Consider the following 20,809-nt stretch of genomic DNA (forward strand, 5'->3'; position numbering starts at 1 on the left):
AGAATATATTGGTTAGAAGCACTACAGTTTAGTGACCTAACCGGTATGGATGTGGGTGTTCTTAGGGTCAGTTAAGCAAAAATGAGGCTTTACAAGGCCTTAATTGTCCTTGTATATAATTTGCATTTTATTGAATTGCAATGGTAAGCCATTGAAGAGTCAAAAACAAGAGAATGACATGATCAGATTCACATTTGGAATAGTGGCAGGTGGACTAGGCAGGGAGACCCAGCATGGTAATCTCCTGTAGTAATTCAGATAACGAAAGCATAAATTGAAGCACTCATTTGGGGAAGAGAGGAGAAAAACCAGTAATGGGCTAACTTTGCATTTGCCTGAGAGGCAGTGTCTCAGCACATGTATTGAAGCAGAGCGAGTGCTGGAGAGCTTTCTTTCTCCAGCTGTTCCAAATTGGATAACAAAAGGCAATGACTCTTCTGTTTACATGTTTGCTTGTAGGCATCAGCTATTCCTAAACTGGAAGGCCCCTGATTGGCATCTCCCTGCACTTTGCAACTTTATTGAACTCTTAACCAGCTCACTGTTTCCTTTATACCCTAAATAAAAATGTTAGACTGGACTATTGTCTTTTTAAAGTTTCAAGGAGAAGCTTTTTATTTGTTTTACTGGTTTCCTTTTTTTAATTTTTTTTATTATACTTTAAGTTCTGGGATACATGTGCAGAACGTACAGGTTTGTAACATAGGTATACACGTACCATGGTGGTTTGCTGCACCCATCAACCCATCATCTACATTATGTATTTCTCCTAATGCTATACCTCCCCTAGCCCCTGACCCCCCAACAGGCTCCAGTGTGTGATGTTCCCTTCCCCGTGTCCATGTGTTCTCCTTGTTCAACTCCTACCTATGAGTGAGAACATGTGGTGTTTGGTTTTCTGTTCTTGTGTTAGTTTGCTGAGAATGATAGTTTCCACCTTCGTTCATGTCCCTGCAAAGGGCATGAACTCATCATTTTTTATGACTGCATAGTATTCCATGGTGTATATGTGCCACATTTTCTTTATCCAGTCTGTCATTGATGGGCATTCAGGTTGGTTCCAAGTCTTTGCTATTGTGAATAGTGCTGCAATAAACATACGTGTGCATGTGTCTTTATAGTAGAATGATTTATAATCCTTTGGGTATATCCCCAGTAATGGGATTGCTGGGTCAAATGGTATTTCTGGTTCTAGATCCTTGAAAAATTGCCACACTGTCTTCCACAATGGTTGAACTAATTTACACTCCCACCAACAGTGTAAAATTGTTTCTATTTCTCCACATCCTCCACACCGTCTGTTGTTTCTTGACTTTTTAATGATCACCATTCTAACTGGCCTGAGATGATATCTCATTGTGGTTTTGATTTGCATTTCTTTAATCACCAGTGATGATGAGCTTTTCTTCATATGTTTGTTGGCTGCATAAACGTCTTCTTTTGAAAAGTGTCTGTTCATATCCTTCGCCCACTTTTTGATGGGGTTGTTTCTTTCTTGTAAATTTGTTTAAGTTCTTTGTAGATTCTAGATATTAGCACTTTGTCAGATGGGTAGATTGCAAGAAATTTCTTCTATTCTGTAGGTTGCCTGTTCACTCTGATGATAGTTTCTTTTGCTGTGCAGAAGCTCTTTAGTTTATTTAGATCCCACATTTGTCAATTTTGGCTTTTGTTGCCATTGCTTTTGGTGTTTTAGTCATGAAGTCTTTGCCCATGCCTATGTCCTGAATGGTATTGCCTAGGTTTTCTTGTAGGGTTTTTATAGTTTTAGTTCTAAAATTTAAGTCTTTAATCCACCTTGAGTTAATTTTTGTATGAGGTGTAAGGAAGGGGTCCAGTTCAGTTTTCTGCATGTGGCTAGCCAGTTTTCCCAACACCATTTATTAAATAGGGAATCCTTTCTCCATTGCTTGTTTTTGTCAGGTTTGTCAAAGATCAGATGGTTGTAGATGGGTGGTGTTATTTCTGAGACCTCTTTTCTGTTCCATTGGTCTATATATCAATTTTGGTACCAGTACCATGCTGTTTAGGTTACTGTAGCCTTGTAGTACAGTTTGAAGTCAGGTAACGTGATGCCTCCAGCTTTCTTTTGCTTAGGATTGTCTTGGCTATGCAGGCTCTTTTTTGGCTCTCACCACTCCTATTCAACATAGTATTGGAAGTTCTGGCCAGGGCAATCAGGCAAGAGAAAGAAATAAAGGGTGTTCAAAGAGGAAGAGAGGAAGTCAAATTGTCTCTGTTTGCAGATGACATGATTGTATATTTAGAAAACCCCATTGTCTCAGCCCAAAATCTCCTTAAGCTGATAAGCAACTTCAGCAAAGTCTCAGGATACAAAATCAATGTGCAAAAATCACAAGCATTCCTATACACCAATAATAGACAAACAGCCAAATCATGAGTGAACTCCCATTCACAGTTGCTACAAAGAGAATAAAATACCTAGGAATCCAACTTATAAGGGATGTGAAGGACCTCTTCAAGGAGAACTACAAACCACTGCTCAAGGAAATAAGAGAGGACACAAACAAATGGAAAAACATTCCATGTTCATGGATAGGAAGCATCAATATCGTGAAAATGGCCATACTGCCCAAAGTAATTTATAGATTCAATGCTATCCCCATCAAGCTACCATTGACTTTCTTCACAGAATTACTGGTTTTATTTCCAAATATGAAAAAAGACAAGCATGTTGAAATGTCAGTGGGAAGAATCCAATTGAAAGAGAGATTGGAATTTATTGGAATGAGAAGGAAAAAATGATACAACGACATTCCTAAATTAGTGGAGAATTGTATGTCCCTAAAAAAGGCAGAGAGGTTAACATTAGGATGCAGGATATTTCTTCTAACATAACCGAAAGTAAGAGGGAAGATCACCACAGATGCAAGTGCAGCACTTCCCTCTTATCTGTGGGTGATACATTCCAAGACCCCCAGTGGATGCCTGAAACTATACATAGTACCAAACCCTGTTTATCCTATGTTTTTCCTGCACATACATATCTATGATAAAGTTTAACTTATAAATTAGTCACAGTGAGAGATTAACAGTAACTAATAATAACTAATAAGATAGAACAATTATAACAATGAGCCAGCATCATCATAATGCTTGTCCTTTAGGGCCATTATTAAAATAAGGGTTACTTGAACACAGCACTGTAGTACAGGAACAGTTGATCTGATCATCAAGATGGCTACTCAGTGAATAATGGGCGGGTCATATATACCACATAGATACACTGGACAAAGGGATGATTCACGACCCAGGCTGGATGGAGCTGGAAGGTGTGGGAGACTTCATCACACTACTAAGAATGGCATACAATTTAAAACTTACGGACTCTTTATTTCTGGAATTTTCCATTTAATATTTTCAAAACCATAGAAAGTAAAACCATGGATGAGAGAGGACAATGGTAGATTCACAGGTTTTGTTAATAGGTATTTGAAACATGCCCATTTGATGATTTTTTCCTCTGTGAACTAAGATGTAAGGCCATCTATTAAGGAATAAGTAGGGCTTACAGGTTTGAGATGGGTGGCAGGAACCTGCTTATTCTATTTAAATTTTAACTTTTAGCCTAGTAAATATAAATCAAAATCTAGAAAAATACTTACAAATAATGGTGAAATATAAAGATTTCTAAAATTTAAGACTGGAGGCATAAAAACACAATGTAAATTCAGGCCACAAGGACTGAACCTCAAATTTGGCTCTAAACTTCTTGGCAGCCCAAAAAAGAGGTAGATTCAGTTACTAATAAATCGCTTAAGAGTTTACTAATTTTTGGAATGTAGCTCTTTTAAAATTTTTAATATTAGAATGGTCTTAGATTTACAGAAAAGTTATGGAAATGGTATAGAAAGTTGCCTTATATACTGTACCCAGTTTCCCTTCTTGTCAACATTCTACAATAATATGGTACATTTTCACAACTAATGAACCAACAGTGATACATTATTATTAATTGCAGTTCATATTTTATTTGCATGTTCTCAATTTTTGCTAAAGACACTTTACTAACATCCTTTTTCTGTTCCAGGATCATCCTGGATACCACATTACGTTTGGTTATGTCTCCATAGGTTCCTCTAGAATACGACAGTTTCTCATAGTTTCCTTGGTGTTTTTTTTTTTTTTTTTTTTTTGAGACAGAGTCTTGCTCTGTCGCCCAGGCTGGAGTGCAGTGGCATGATCCCAGCTCACTGCAAGCTCCGCCTCCCGGGTTCACGCCATTCTCCTGCCTCAGCCTCCTGAGTAGCTGGGACTACAGGCGCCTGCCACTGCGCCCGGCTAATTTTTTTTTGTATTTTTAGTAGAGATGGGGTTTCACAGTGGTCTCGATCTCCTGACCTAGTGATCCACCCGCCTCGGCCCCCCAAAGTGCTGGGATTACAGGTTCCTTGGTTTTGATGAGCTTGACGGTTTTTAGCAGTACTGCTCAGATATTTTGTAGAATGTCTTTTAATTTGGATTTGTCTGATGTTAAGGGAGGAGTATCTACATAAATCACATGGAATTCTTCTGTTCAAGGGATTTGTCTATTCTCCTTCATATAGGATACGTGTTATAAATAAAACATTTTATTGAAAGATGTGTCTTTAACTCTCAAAAACATTTAAAAATCGGTTAATAGTACAGATTGCAACTGTAATTAATTCCTTCTATGCCAGGCATTTCTAAGTCTTTCAGAGCTTTAGTCTTTTCATTTGCAATATGTGAGATTTGCACTATGTTATTTGGCCTTCACCTCCCTTACTAGTCTTTCATTAGTGATGTTGATGACCTGAGGGAAAACCCATGACTGACCTCCAGTGGTAATATGTGCTGTGGTCCAAGAAATAAATGCCTATTTGTTGACTTGAGATGAGTTGGAGCAACTAGGTAGTTAAGAAAAAGTAGCACAGATAGACTGCTTCTAATTGTTGATAGTTCATGAAAAGTTTCAATTGTCTATGAAACGACTAGAGAAGTTTCTTTCTAGAAGTAACCCATAAATGTCTCTTTCTTCTAATTTTGTGAAATTTGAGCCATTTGGTAAAAAAAAATGAGTCTAAACACTCTATTCTTCAATCTATAGATAACTCTAATCCTAGATATAATCATTTCATAAATGTTTCTCCTGCTTAATTTATCTCCTCAACATTTTAGAAGAGTTTTGGCAGTCATTAATTTTAGTTCTAAAATATTTTCTGAAATTAACTTCCCATCATTCTAGTTTTTTCCTCAGGCATCTCTCTTTTCATGGAGCCATATTCACATAAATTCTAAGATCTTTCCCTTTCAATAGCCTTGGAAGATATTTGTGAATCTTTGGAATGTGGGTGTCTCTCTATCTGTGATAATTCCTCTAATATTGCTTTTAGCATTCTCCAGGGCAGGTGGGTGGATCTAGGTTCTCTGGGGCCTGAAGTTGGTCCTTTTTAAAAAGAATACAAATTATAATTACAAAATTAGGTTCAGGGTCATAAAATGGCCTGTGCAAGTAAGAGGCCTTGGAGCTGAAACTTTTTTTGTTTGTTTGCTTGTTTGTTTGCTTGTTTTGAGACAAGGTCCCACTGTATCACCCAGGCTAGAGTGCAGTGGTGCAATCTTGGCTCACTACAACCTCTGCCTCCCAGATTCAAGGGATCCTCCCACCTCAGCCTCCTGAGCAGCTGGGACTACAGGCGCATGCCACCAAACCTGGCTAATTTTTGTATTATTTTTTTTTTCGGTAGATACGGGGTTTTGCCATGTTGCCCAGGCTGGTCTCAAAACTCCTGGGCTCGAGTGATCCACCTGCCTTGGCTTCCCAAAATGCTGGGATTATAGGCATGTCCAGCAGCCCGGGCTGAAACTTTTTTAATATTTTGGTAAATCTTCCTCAAACAGCCTCAGGTGAAAACTGACATTACTATTATATTCGTGTTCTCTTGCTGCTATAGAAATTATCACAAACTTAGTGGTTTGGAACAGCACAAATTTATCTTTCAGTTCTTTCAGCAGTCTGACACAGATGTCTCACTGGACTGGAATCTGGATATCAAGCCAGATGTCAGTCCCATGTGCTCTGGAGGCTAAGGCTGAAGGATCACTTAAGCTCAGGAATTCAAGAGCAGCCCAGACAACATAGCAAGACTCAGTTTCAAAAAAAAAAAAAAAAGAAAAAAGAAAAAGAAAAAGAAAAAAAAGATGTCAGCATGGCTTTGTTTGCTTCAGGAGGGCCATAGGGGAGAATCCATTTCCTTGCCTTTTGTTTTCTTTTTCTTTTTCTTTTCTTTTTTTTTTTTTTTTTGAGACGGAGTTTCACTCTTGTTTCCCAGGCTGGAGTGCAGTGACGTGATCTCAGCCACTGCAACCTCCGCCTCCCAGATTCAAGCGATTCTCCTGCCTCATCCTCCGAAGTAGTGGGATTACAGGCATGCGCAATCACGCCCAGCTAATTTTGTATTTTCTAGAGGCTTCCTGCATTATATGGCTTATGGTATTCTTCCTTCATCTTCGATGCCAACAGTGGCAGGTCAGGTTCCTATATTGTATTAAATATGTCTCTGACTGCTCTTCCATCATTACATGTCTCTTTAAGCACAGGAAGGAACAGTTCTCAGCTTTTAAAGACTTGTGGTTAGATTGGACCTACTTGGATAATTAAGGATAATCTCCCCATTTCAAGATCTATAACCTTAATCACTCTGCAGAGTTCCTGCTGCCATGTAACCAACAAACCTTCAATTTGTAAAAAACACAGTATCTGTGAAGCACAATAAAGCCAAATGCAATAAAAAGAGGCCTGTTTATGTTAGTAAAAATGAAAGAGAAAGTATATAACCTTCCCTCTTTTCCAAGAGAACATTAAACAAAATTATAAAATCTTTGTGAATACCCAACATTGTAACTATTTCCGGAGCTCCTTGATGAAAATTGTTTCATTTCATTGGTCTAGAGAGATAATCTGGATAGATGGAGCCCAAGATTAATGACCAATGGTAGTTTATCTTATGCATCTAAGATACCATGTGTATTTTAAAAGAAAACTTTAGTCTCTTAACTCCTCTCCCACACGTAAGAAATGTGGTAGTTTCATACACTGTTGGGCCTAGACCTGTTTCAGATTGTCCCAGGTATTTCCCTCACTCCCATTACCCTATGATTCTTTTCAGTTAAGTGTCTTTAAGAGATGGAAGCTCAAAAGTTAATAAGAGAAAGTCTATTGAATTATATATAGGTCTAGTAGCAGGTCATATACAATTTGTATTATCGATTTTCTCACATAAAAGAACTCTAGAACAATGGTTCTCAAATTGTTTAGTTTCAGAATTCCTTTACAGTCTAAAAACTTGAGGACCACAGGGAACTTTTATTTATGTGGGTTGGCTATAACTCATTACTGTTTATTAGCTATAACCTAATATTTACCATATAAAAATTAAAATGGGACATTTAAAAATATTAATTCATTTAATAAATATTAATAAAAATGCCTTAGATGTAAACATAAATAACAGTCATATTTCCAAATTATAACAATTATATTTTTCAAAACAAAAACAATCACTGGCATTTTCTCAAATTTGTGTGAATTTCTTTAATGTATGCCTTAATGAAAGACAGCTAGATTCCTTTATTTGCTTCAGTCTGTTGTAATATTTGTTTTGGTTGAAGCATATGGAGAAAATACAACCTTACATAGATATGTAGTTAGAAGAGAGAGTATTTTAATAACCTTAAAGATAATTGTGGATATTCTTCCTTGATAATGCATTAAAACTCAACCAGTGGTAGTATATTTTTTAATCTACTTTTTTTTTTTTTTTTGAGACAGGGTTTCACTTTGTTGCCCAGGCTGGAGTGCAGTGGTATGATCGTGGCTCACTGTAACTTCGATCACCCATGCTCAAGCCATCCTCCTACCTCAGCATCCCTAGTAACTGGGACCACAGAGACATGCCACCATGCCCAGCTAATTTTTTTTTTTTGTAGTGACAGAGTCTTACTCTCTTGCTCAGTCTAGTCTTGAACTCCTGGGCTCAAGTGATTCTCCTGCCTCCTCCCAAAGTGCTAGAATTATGGGGGTAAGCCACTGCATCTGGCCTATCCACATTATTGACTGAATTTGTTAAACAGCTTTGTTGAAATACAATTCACACATCATACAATGTGCACATTTAAAATGTACAGCTGTATGACCTTTATTATATTCAAAGTTATTTAGTCATCACCACAATTTTGGAATAATTTTAACAACACATTCAATTTTATAATTTTTTTCACACCAAAAAGAAACCTCATAACTACCCCCAATTTCCCCATCTCCTCCACTGCTAGGCAACCACTAACATACCTTGTTTCTCTATCTATTTGCCTATTCTGGGCATTTGATGTAAATGGGGTCATATAATATGTGGTCCTTTGTGGCTGGCTTCATTCACCTAGTGTAATGTCTATATTATTCCTCTACGTTTTAGCCTGTATCAGTATTTACTTTTATTGTTGAGTAATATTTTATTGTATAGATATATACCATAGGTGTTTTTTAAAAATATATATATATTTATTAGGTGATGGACTTTTGGGTTGTTTCCACCTTTTGGCTATTATGAATAGAGTTGCTATGAACATTCATGTGCATGTTTTTGTGTAGACATGTGATTTCATTTGCCGTAGGAATATACTTAGAAATAAAATTGCTAGATCACATGGGAAGTCCTTGTTTAACCATGGTAGTTTCTTAAAGGTTAGTTGCAAAGTGAAATCGGAAACCATGACAACAGACTTTTCTTATTCTGTTATGTTATAGTTCATTGGTTTCTCTTGACTTAGAATGAATCTTTCACCCATGCACGATTTTGTAACATTATATATTAGTCATAATAGTCATTTGGAAAATATTTGTTTAGTTAGTTATGCAGATCTTCCAAAAGTTTATACATTTTATTACACAATATCAAAATTCACATTGGTTAATATTACCACTGATTTCATCAGAAAAACCTAAATATTGGGAATTTTATCAGGTTCATAATGACTCATTTTAGTTTTCAAAAATGCTAATTTTTGCTTAAAAGCTTAAATTTTATCATTGGCAACAAACGCTATCTATAGTTTTCCTTGAAGTAACAGGCCCGCTTTGTTCATTGTAGAGAAAATGTTTGTGAAGTACCCAATTTGGAGGAACTGTAGTTTTGTCAGTTCCTCAAACAAAAATGCTTTTCCATAAAGAAATCAGTTAGTACAGCTTGCAGTTTAGTTGCACATCTGCTTTTCCTTGAGGCTATCATTTTGTGGTATGCAGCAAAAATGTCTTATGTGTACTTCCTATTTCATTGAACTGAATATTAAAAAGATGTTTATTAATGGGTCAGGATTTAATAAGATGAATAATTTTTGCTGTTTCATTAAGAACATCCTTAAATGAAACTTACTTAGTTTGCTTCTTACCGCAAGTGTATGGTCAGAAGGATTCAGCAAGAAATAGCTGTTTTCATGCTACTGCCTGGATTCATGCTAAGGCACTCAGTATTGCTCTTGCACCATCAGTGCACATGTCAACAGGGTGAAAAACACAAGCAGTGCCTTAGAATTATTATGAAATTAGTTTTGATGTTAAACGGTCCTTAATAGGGTCTCTGGGACCTCGGGGGATCTGTGGACCATGCTTTCACAAATGCTCCTCTCACACACCCAACTTTCTGTCCCTGTTTCTTTTTTTCTAAAACTAATATTTCCAGAAATGTTAAGATTAATGGAAAGTCATTTGTCATTTTGAGTAGAAACAAATATATTTTTGTTATCTTGGAATATGCTGTTGTTTTGATCATATTTCTCCTGTTTAATTCCTCAAGGATCTAGAACCAGAAATACCATTTGACCCACCAATCCCATTACTGGGCAAATACCCAAAGGATTATAAATCATCCTACTATAAAGACACATGCACACATATGTTCATTGCAGCACTATTCACAATAGCAAAGACTTGGAACCAACCCAAATGCCCATCAATGATAGACCTGATAAAGAAAACGTGGCACATGTACACCATGGAATACTACGCAGTCATAAAAAATGAGTTCATGTCCTTTGCGGGGACATGGATGAAGCTGGAAACCATCATTCTCAGCAAACTAACACAGGAACAGAAAACCAGACACTGCATGTTCTCAGTCATAAGTGGGAGTTGAACAATGAGAACACATGGACTCGGGGAGGGGAACATCACACACCAGGGCCTGTCAGGGGGTGGGGGGCTAGGGGAGGGATAGCATTAGGAGAAATACCTAATGTAGATGATGGGTTGATGGGTGCAGCAAACCACCATGTCACATGTATACCTATATAACAAACCTGCACGTTCTGCACATGTATCCCAGAACTTAAAGTATAATAAAAAAAAGTTTCATGATCTAAAGAAATTCAGAAAATAAACAATATTAAAATGAGGAAACATTGGAAATTAGTTTTTTACTTATTTGCCTAATATTGAGTAGTGAATTTTCTTATTCTAATCTGGAAACCAAGACTTTTATCAGCTATTTTACTAGAAAATCTATGTGAGATATTGTAACTTAGAAAAAGTCCAAAGCAAGGCTTAATTTGTCTGTCATATTGAATAATCTTCAAATAATCTTTTAGTCTTCAAAAATGGTTATAGAAAAACTGTTAGATTTGAGAAATTGGATATGAATTATGCTGACATTCTAACATTCTCAAGTTAAATTCCCCTAAGCAGTGTTTTATGGGAAATGAATTCATTTGAACAACTTAAAGAAATATTTTAAGAATGAGATGTGCCTTTAGTTATAAAACCTCTTACTGCTGCAAACATATGTAAGAATTTTGCAGTAGGTTGAATGAATTAGCTATATAAAAGTCTGCAAGTAAACTTCCTTCCTATAGAAAATATAATAGACAGGAAATAAATTAAGTAGAGATATTTAGCTGGTTGAAATCAGATTCATTTTTGTCAGTGCTTTATTTGTGATATATTTTTGATAGGAATTTTCAGAAGACTTAAAGTACATATTTATACTTTTGTACTTTAAAATAATCACATTATTAATAGTGATGAAAATAGCAATAGATAATACTTATTGACTGCTTGCCAAGTACTACCTGTTTTTTTTATATGCATTATCTCATTATCTCATTTAATTCTCAAATAGCTAAATGAGGACTGTTCTTACCGGGAACAAATAAACCAAAAAACATACAAACAAAAAAAAACTCAAAGCTTTGGATGTGGCAATCATTGACATACTTATTTGTTATGGGAGTAATTTCACTACCCTAAAACAGCATTTTTACACTCTAAGCAGTCTTCTGTTTGATAACAAGGATTGTTTTGTGGTAGATGTTTTGCTTTTTGCTCTCTTTTAACACTAGTAAAATAGACTGGAAAGTCTTTTAGCCTTTCTATAAACTTTAAAACATTGTTTTCTTTCCAGAAATACTGTTCTGATAGACTGGGTTTGATTGAATTTTTCTGTAAAGAAATACAGATAAAGGATAAGATGTGATATCTAAAAATTTTAGGACTCTGAGGACTAAAAATGATAAAGATGAAAATGATGACATTTATTGTATACTTATTATTAGCTAAGTATGGTAAATACTGAGTATTAGCCCTCTCTATAACTCCATGAAATATAGGTACTATTCTTATTCCCACTTTTCAAAAGGGGGAACTGAGACACAGAAAATTTTAAGTTATTTTCCAAAGGTCCTGTTATTGGTAAGTGATACAGCCATGATTTCAACCCAGATTTTATGTCTAAAGTACGGCTGTGTTTCTGCCATTAGACTAGCAATCTGGATTCCTAATCCTGGCTTTAGAGACTGTGTTCTTGTGCAACTTTCCTAAACTCTTTAAACTTCACTCTCCTCATCTATCAAATGAGAATAAGAGTAGCAGTGCTTAACGTTATGAGCATCACAGATCCCTGTGGGGTGTGTTGTGAGAATAAAAAAGAAAGTAAAAGTATTCAGCACAATTCTTGGTACACAAAAGTACTCAGTAAATGGAAATATCTATGGTGGTGAAATAAAGTCTCTCTTATTGAGTGTATTTCCAGCCATGTGGTCCTTACTACTATGCCACAATACTAAATATTCTGCTGACTTCCTGCCTTCTATTTTAAGCCAGTCTAATATACACAGCAGCCAGAGTAATTATCCTAAGGTTTATTTAGGGTCATTTCAGTCCTTTCTTCAAAAACCTTCATTGCTTCCCTTTGCCTGCTGAACTAAATAAGAACTCAGCCTGCTACTGAAGCCTCCAATTTATCTTTCTTGCTTTATTCTTTCTCACAGAAACCTGTGTAGTTCTCATTTGGAGTGGGAATACAGTTGTTTGGAAATGTTTTAGAACGTCAGCATTACTAAAGGTCTACACTCAGCATTTAGAGGATTAGGACCAGGGACACTCCATATTATTCTGTGAGTGTGACAATCTCAGACATGAATAGTCTCAGACAAATGTGGATAGTCAACTTTTTCCACTTCCTACTCTGACCCCCCTCCCTATTTTCCTACTATCATTCCTTTACTCCTGCTATCTATTTGACTATTTCTATCTCTCTTTCTAATTCTGTGGCAGCTGTCATCTTATCTAGCCTTCAAGGCCAAGCTTAAATGATCATTTGTATTTCTGGATTCCTCCAGTTTCTATGTGAAACCACCCTTGTATCTTTTTTAAAAAAATCTTAGATAGCTTTACCCTTTATACTTGTTTATAATTATAATTATTTTTCATGAAGAAGACAATTGACTACCATGAAATCTTTTTTAAAGACAAGTTCAAAGTCTGATTCATCTTTAGTGTCTCAAAATGTGACTATGTTGTTATACCTTTTAGGTCTTTCTGGAGGGTAGACAGCCTGTTTTACATTCTTTGGGCATAAATACTCTGCCTTATGTATCTCAGCATTGCTGATGCCTCACATAGTACCAGGCCAGTGACCAATGATAAATTCTTGTTTTCTAAATCAATTCCTGTAAGTAGACTGAAAGTTTCTTGAAGGCAGTTAAAACAATATTTATTATTTGGTGGTTCACCTATCAACATTCTTATTTGCCCATCTATCCATTCACCTGTCCCTTACTTCATTCAGAAAGACTATGAAAGAGCTGGCAAGAGCAGCGACTATACTTCCCTGTGTATATGAAACAATAGATAGCACGATTTCTTTTATTTACTAGGTGCTTAATATGTTTTGTTGTGTGGACTTGTTAGTAGCCTGGAGCATAAAGGAAAGGTGAAAATGTTTTCATTTCTTCTGTTGTTCAGTGGTAAATTACCATAAATGTCAAAGCACCCGGGACCTGAATGACAGGTTATAGAAATGTAAAATTGGATAAATATGGTTTCTTTTAACGTGGTGACATGCTATCAACAATATATATACTCTGAACAGACCATTTAAAAATAGAAGAAGAAGAAGAAGTCTTGCTATGTTACCCAGGCTGCAGTACAGTGACTATTCATAGGCGCAGTCCCATTACTGCTCAGCACAGGAGTTTTGACCTGCTCCATTTCCAACCTGGGCTGGTCACTCCCTCCTTAGGCAACCTGTTGGTCTCCTGATTCCAGGAGGTCACCATATTGATGCTGAACTTAGTGTAGACACCCAACTGGCATAGTGCACTACAGCCCAGAACTCCTGGGCTCAAGCCATCCTCCTGCCTTAGCTTCCCAAGTACCTAGACTACAGACGCACACCATAGGAACCTCTTAGTACTTGTCTAGTTTATACCCCTCAGTTAAATAAACAATAAGAAATTAAATGACAAATTCAAGGGCAAACACAGATTTACATTCAGAGATTACTGGCAGATTATGTAGGCTACTGTGATTTCACTAGAGAAAAATAACTCCCTAAAATAGTTTTTATTTTAAATTTTATACACACACACACACACACACATATATATATATATGTATTTTTGAGATGGAGTTTCGCTCTTGTTGCACAGGCTGGAGTGCAATGGCGCAGTCTCAGCTCACCACAACCTCCGCCTCCCGGGTTCAAGCGATTCTCCTGCCTCAGACTCCCAAGTAGCTGGGATTACAGGCATATGCCACCACACCCGGCTAATTTTGTATTTTTAAGAGAGATGGGGTTTCTGCATGTTTGGTCAGGCTGGTCTCGAATGCCCAACCTCAAGTGATCCGCCCACCTCGGCCTCCCAAAGTGCTGGGATTACAGGCCTGAGCCACTGCGCCTGGCCTAAATTACAATTATTTTAAAAGTGTTTCAGTATAAGAAGGAAGTCTAGGATTATTTTAACCTGAGTATTTCATGGGATTTAGGCTTAATCCGGGTCATTTAGAAATAGTCCTACGTTATTTAATGATTTAAAACAGAACTTTATGCTTTCATTATTTGGATTAAATAAACTTCTATTATTTTTTCTTATCCTGAAGCAATAATCTAGAGAAAAAAGCAGATGCCTTTACCAAGTTTCATGTTAAAAAATTTACTTGCCAGCCAGATGCGGTGGCTCACGCCTGTAATCCCAGCACTTTGGGAGCCTAAGGCAGGTGGGTCACCTGAGGTTGGGAGTTCGAGACCAGCCTGACCAACATGGAGAAACCCCGTCTCTACTAAAAATACACAATTAGCCAGGCGTGGCGGCACATGCCTGTAATCCCAGCTACTTGGGAGGCTGAGGCTGGAGAATCACTTGAACCCAGGAGGCGGAGGCTGCGGTGAGCCGAGATTGCGCCATTGCACTCCAGCCTGGGGAACAACAGTGAAACTCCGTCTCAAAAAAAAAAAAAAAAAAAAAAAATTTACTTGCCAAAATAAGTACCAGGAAGTTTTCATGTCTTCTAAAATTTGCCTTTGTTTCAATGTAATAATTACTCATGTGTTATTATTATAAGTAATATTATTAGCCGTCTTCTAAATGAGGTAGTACAGTATAGTGCAAAAACCATAGAATGGTCAGAAAAGCTGTTTTCTAATCCTGGCGCTACCACTTACTGGCTTTGAAAGACAGCAAATTCTGTGATTCCTCTGAGCCTGTTTCCCAGTCTATAAATTTGGGATAGTACTCCTTAATCCTTAATCTTATTGTGAGGCCTTGCTGAAATTATGCTCATTGAAAACAAACACTTAAGCTTGGCATTTAGTAGACACTCCTCAAAAGTTGTAGTAGTTATCACTGCTAGAATCTGCTACCATAGATTAATTTGTAAGTTTTTAAAAACTCTTTATTCCCTTGATAAGGAAAAGTGTATGCTTAAATATGTTTTGGCAGTTTATAATGGATCACTGTCTAGATTTCTTTTGGATTCTCCATTAATCTGAACTAAAAATCAGATAAATTTCTGTAAAATTTGTTTTGCCACACCTGATGGAATCATGGTCAAGTCACTTTACCTCTCTGGGCCTGTTTCCTGCTGGCAAGGGGAGTTGTGACGTGTGAATGTTAAAGCCCCTTTCAGTTCGAGAATTCAGTGATTATTTTTGGAATATTATTATTATAATGATTCATTCTAAAAGTCCAACTTTCTTTCAAACGTTTATTGTCTTTTTTTATGCGATGCTAGTATATATGTATATTATAGGCAATATATACATAGACATAAATATATATATGTAGGTAGGTGTTTTCTAAACCTAGTCTATGATGATAATCATCAGGAGTGCTCATTAAAATGAGTTAAAAATCTCCTCTACAGATTCAGTAGGTCTGGAGAAGGCCCCAGGAATTTGTAGTTTGATGAGCATACCACATGATTATTATTATCACCAAGTTTAAAACTGCTGTATTCTTTTACTCTGTTTTAGCTAAAAATTAATTTGGACTTTACCATTTTGGCAGGGAGAGGGAGAAGAAGAGCCTATATCTTGAGATGCTGAGGTCCAGTCTCTGGACATTTATTTCATGCAACAAATATTTATTGTATGTTTACTATGCCAGATAATAAAGGAATTTACTACCTAGATGGATAATTTTTTAAAAAAAATCTCACGAGATAATGAGTAATAGATGTATAAAGAAAGGACTGAAGAGCAGAGAGAAGGAAATGATCAGTTCTGCCTATAGGGGTGAAGGAGAGGTATCTCAAGACGTTTAAGAGGAAGTAACACTTAGGGTGAACTTTGAAAGATAAATAGGCATTTCACCAGCAGAAAATATGGAGAAAGGGAAATGATGTTAACAAGAAAGTATAAGAATGCCAGATATGGCCGGGCGCAGTGGCTCATGCCTGTAATCCCAGCACTTTGGGAGGCAGAGGTGGGCAGATCACGAGGTCAGGAGATTGAGACCATCCTGGCCAACATGGTGAAACCCCGTCTCTACTAAAAATACAAAATTAGCTGGACGTGGTGGCGGGTGCCTGTAATCCCAGCTACTCAGGAGTCTGAGGCAGGGGAATCACTTGAACCCGGGAGGCCGAAGTTGCGGTGAGCCGAGATTGCACCAGAAATCCTGTCTGTAAATAAATACACCAGATATAAATCTGTCTCTAGACAAAAGAATGAAGAAAACTGGGAATAATAACTATAAAGGACTTTTTCCCCCACATTACAAAAATGTATTTGAAATAATTGACTGAAGTGACAATAATATATTGGGGGTTAATAACATATATGAAAGCAAAATGTCTGACAATAGTACAAAAGCTGAGTGAGGAGAAACGGAGATGTATAGTTGTAAGGTTCTTAGACTATATGTAAAGTGGTAGCATATTACATGAAGGCAGATTATAAGTTAAATTTTAAAAATATCAGCACAGATACACATATACACAAAAATTGAAAAGTCATAAGATTTGACAATTCAGATGAGTAAATTTGGGAGCTAAGAATTGCATCTCTCCTGTACCTCAAAAATAATTTCTCACATAGATGATCTATTTTAAGCCTAAAAATGAAGGTTGATTGTGTGAAACATATGCAAATAATATTACTTTGAAATAGTAAAACCTAGGTTTTGGGTTATTTGTTTGGGGTTTTTTTGTTTGTTTGTATTTTGTTTGTTTTTGAGACGGAGACAGGCTCTGTCGCCCAGGCTACAGTGCAGTGGTTCCATCTTGGCTCACTGCAACCTCTGTCTCCCGGGTTCAAGCAATTCTCCTGCCTCAGGTTCCTAGTAGCTGGGATATGGGCACGCATCACCACGCCCAGCAAATTTCTGTATTTTTAGTAGAGATGGGGTTTCACCAGGTTGGCCAGGCTGGTCTCGAACTCCTGACCTCGGGTGATCCACTCTCCTCTGCCTCCCAAATTGCTGAGACTACAGGCGTGAGCCACCACACCTAGCTGTTTTTGTTTTTCTGTTGTTTGTTTGTTTTTTGTTTTAACACATAACTTGCTTTGGACAGAATTAAGTGTAACTCCTGTAAGGAACAAGAAAACAATATAAGCCTATACTTACACATCCATTACACTGAAAGATTTCTAAACAATTTTTCCACCCTAATTTATGCTAGGCTTTGTTGTTTTAAGATGGCAAAGTGTATAAATGGTGCCAGTCCCTGCTCAGGCAAAATTTTGAAGTAGAAGAAATGTGTTGTCCATTCCCTGTCCACTCCTCTTTGTATTGGTTATCAACCTCATACCCAGCCCTTGCAGCTCACTCATGATCTCTCAGCTGTTAATTTTTTTTTCTGATACTCTGTTCCCAGAAAAATGTACCCATCTTGGTAAGCAGTACTTTCCTTTCTATTGTGATAAATATTAACAATGACATAACCTCATGGAGAACTGCAGTTTGCTCCGTCAGTACCATGCTCCAAACAACTGGGAAGGGTGAGAGAAAAAGGGCAAATGATGTACTTTTCCTCTGTGTGATATTGTGACAATTTTCTAGCATGTTTCTTATATAATAGTGACTGATAAAAAGCCTTGATACCAGTAAGCAGTAGCAAATGTACTATTAATGTATTTCCTTTATAATAATTCTTCATGTGTATATTTCAAAAAAAAAAAAAAAAAAATTCTGTCAATTGTTTCTCAGAGCAATCCCAGGAGTTTTCAGGTTTAGAAACCGAATCACAGAAAGTTGAAATGACAAAGGTAATCAAGTAAAGCCTGAACTAGAACCTAGGTCTGCTGAATCCTAGTTAATTGCATTCTCAAAAGCACAAGGAAAAATACTGGAATTGAGTGACAAAGTGGTTGTCTGCATGTTTGGGACTGCTGGCAAGAACTCATCTAGACTTTTTACAGCTTGAATAGAATTCATTACTATATGATCTTTGATGGAAATGTTAGAATTGTTCACAAGGGAAAGTCTAAAAATTCTGTCCGTGAGCAACCTCAGAAAACTGCCGATGCTGCTAAACTTAACTCTGAGAATGGAATTCCACAGATTATCTGGTATTTTCTGCAGCCTGCCCAACTCAATAAACCCTTCATTCGCCTCTGAATATAATCCTTTGACCTCGTTCTCTTTTAGTTATTTGTTTTTTCATTAAAGTGTTATTCTTTTAGTGGCTTTTTTAATCAGCTTTGATGCCTATGGCTACAAATAACAGAAAACCTAGAGTATTGTACAGGAAGGAAATGTCTCAGCTCTCTTAGCTCTTGTAAAACCCAGAGGTGACTCCAGAATGATCTCAGTCGAATACAGCTTCTTTTCTCCTAACTCTCTCTGCTCTGCTGTCCTTGATATGTTGGTTTCATCCTAGGCTGCTTTCCTCATGGTGGTGTTATGGCTATAATAGTTCCTATGTACATGTCTGCACTTCACGGTGGCCAAGTTGTTTCCCAAAGCTACCTTATAAGCATGAGGAAGCTTCCTTCCCAGAAGCCTTGAGAAAACCTCTTCCCATGTTTTATTAGACCAAATTATATCTCATGCCATTCCTGAACCAAGCCCTGTGATTTAAGCAGTGCCATATCTGAATGGCTTAGGCTTGAGTTTCTGAACCAAAGGAAAGGAAGATCACCCTTAGACCCATTCCACCCCTGGATCCTGGAGGTTGCTGTGTATTTCCCTGAGACACATGGGCTGGGAGAAGGGGGTGCTGTGAAAAATTAGATTTCTCTTAGGATAGGGGAAAGTGGAATGTATGGTGAGTAGGTAATGATTAATGTCTGCATCAATTGTCTTGTTTTTTCCTCATCTGGCTTTTAGAATCATGTAGAATAGTTAAAATAGTGTAAATTTTGATGTAAGACTAGCTTTTAGAGACCTCTTCTGGCACTTGGCCAGGTTCCTTAACTGCTCTTCTATGCCTCAGTTTCCCCACAATTTTATAATGATTAAAAATAATGTAGTCTGGCCAGGTATGGGAGTTTGCATCTGCAATCCCAGTACTTTGGTAGGCCAAGACAGGAGGATTGCTTAAGTTCCGGAGTTTGAGACCAGCCTGGGCAATATAGTGAAACCTTGTCTCTACAAAAAATTTAAAAATTACCGGGTGTGGTGGTGGATGCCTATAGTCTTAGCTACTTTGGAGGCTGAGGTGGAAGAATCACTTGAGCTTGGGAAGTGGAGGTTGTATGCAGTGTGCTGAGATTGTGCCACTAAACTCCAGCCTGGGTGACAGAGCAAGACCCTGTCTCAAAATGATGATGATAATAATAATAATAATAATAATAATAATAATGTAGGCAAGGAACTTAGCACATAGTATATATTTCAATAAGTAAATATAGCTGTTATTAATGGTTTTTTTTTACTTTTGAAATTATAAACAATAAGTGAAAGTTCCTTTTTCTCCTGCTGAGGCCTGTGCTATCCCCAAATAGTTATTATTAAAATTAGTAGACAAGAAACTGTTCATTAGAGAATGTAGGTAGGATGCTTACCATAAAATTCTTTCAAGTTTTTCTGTGTTTGAAAATTTTCGTGATGACATTGAAAAAAATAAGTTTACAAGAATGATAGTGTTGCAATAAAAACCACTGAGGGTGACTCAAGAGAACTAGAAACCAAAATTCTTCTTAAGACAGCAGTAAGTTTAACCCAGTTCAGGTGAATTGCTGGAATGATGTTTTCCTCTTATGTCCCAAGCATTCCATTTCTTTATGAGGAAATACGCAGTCTAAAATACTGGGTTTCCTGCATTGAAACTCCTTGGCCTTAACTTTTGTGTGGGCAGCCTACAGCACCAAAGTATAATGAAATATGTATGAGATCTCACTAAAAGAGCTCTGGAGTTAGCCACTGAGAAATAAAGGGTGGGAGGGAAAGCTGTGCATAGAAGGAGAACCAGGAAAATGACCTTTATTGAGTTCCCATTATGTATGTGCCAAAGGCTCTGTGGTTATAAGGATAAATAAAATACTTTCCCAACCTCAAGAGAGCTCACACCTTAGATCAGAAGACACCCCTCTCAGTAAATAATTATGGCATATGATAAGAAGTGCCATGTGTCAGCTGGGTACAGTGGCTTACACCTGTAATCCCAGCACTTTGGGAGGCTGAGGCAGGTGGATCACCTGAGGTCAGGAGTTTGAGACCAGCCTGGCTAACCTAGTGAAACCCTGTCTCTACTAAAAAAAAAAAATATACAAAATACAAAATTAGCCATGTGTGGTGGTATGCACCTGTAATCCCACTACTTAGGAGGCTCAGGCAGGAGATTCGCTTGAACCTGGGAGGCGGAGTTTGCAGTGAACTGAGACTGTGCTGCTGCACTCCAGCCTGGGCATCAAAAGCAAAACTCCATCTCAAAAAAAAAAAAAAAAAAAAAAAAGTGCCATGTGTCTGAGAGCATACTGGAGAAAGAAAAACTAGAGGATCTTCATAAATCTTGCAGACTCCTTTAGTTAGGGTTAGGAAGAAGTTGTTAAAGATTGAGATTATTTCCCACAGAATTTTGTTGTTGGTTTAAGAGCACAAGTCACTGTTCTGC

General features: G+C 37.2%; 1 protein-coding gene and 1 pseudogene across 2 annotated transcripts in view, besides 1 other annotated feature; one reads left to right on the forward strand and one right to left on the reverse strand.

Annotated features, from left to right (window-relative positions):
* VPS13B (vacuolar protein sorting 13 homolog B) overlaps positions 1-20,809 on the forward strand; it is an 864,307-nt gene that overhangs the window by 587,087 nt on the left and 256,411 nt on the right. The window lies entirely within an intron of this gene.
* Positions 13,423-13,721, reverse strand: RN7SL350P (RNA, 7SL, cytoplasmic 350, pseudogene; annotated as a pseudogene).
* Positions 20,488-20,676: a silencer, noted in NCBI's record as "fragment chr8:100633076-100633264 (GRCh37/hg19 assembly coordinates)". NCBI's record gives its function as "represses an EF-1alpha promoter that drives an FKBP-Casp9 reporter gene in an ReSE screen in K562 erythroleukemia cells {active_cell/tissue: K562}" and the evidence as "EXISTENCE:reporter gene assay evidence [ECO:0000049][PMID:32094911]".

This window comes from Homo sapiens, chromosome 8, assembly GCF_000001405.40.
Source record: "Homo sapiens chromosome 8, GRCh38.p14 Primary Assembly".
Lineage (NCBI taxonomy): Eukaryota > Metazoa > Chordata > Mammalia > Primates > Hominidae > Homo > Homo sapiens.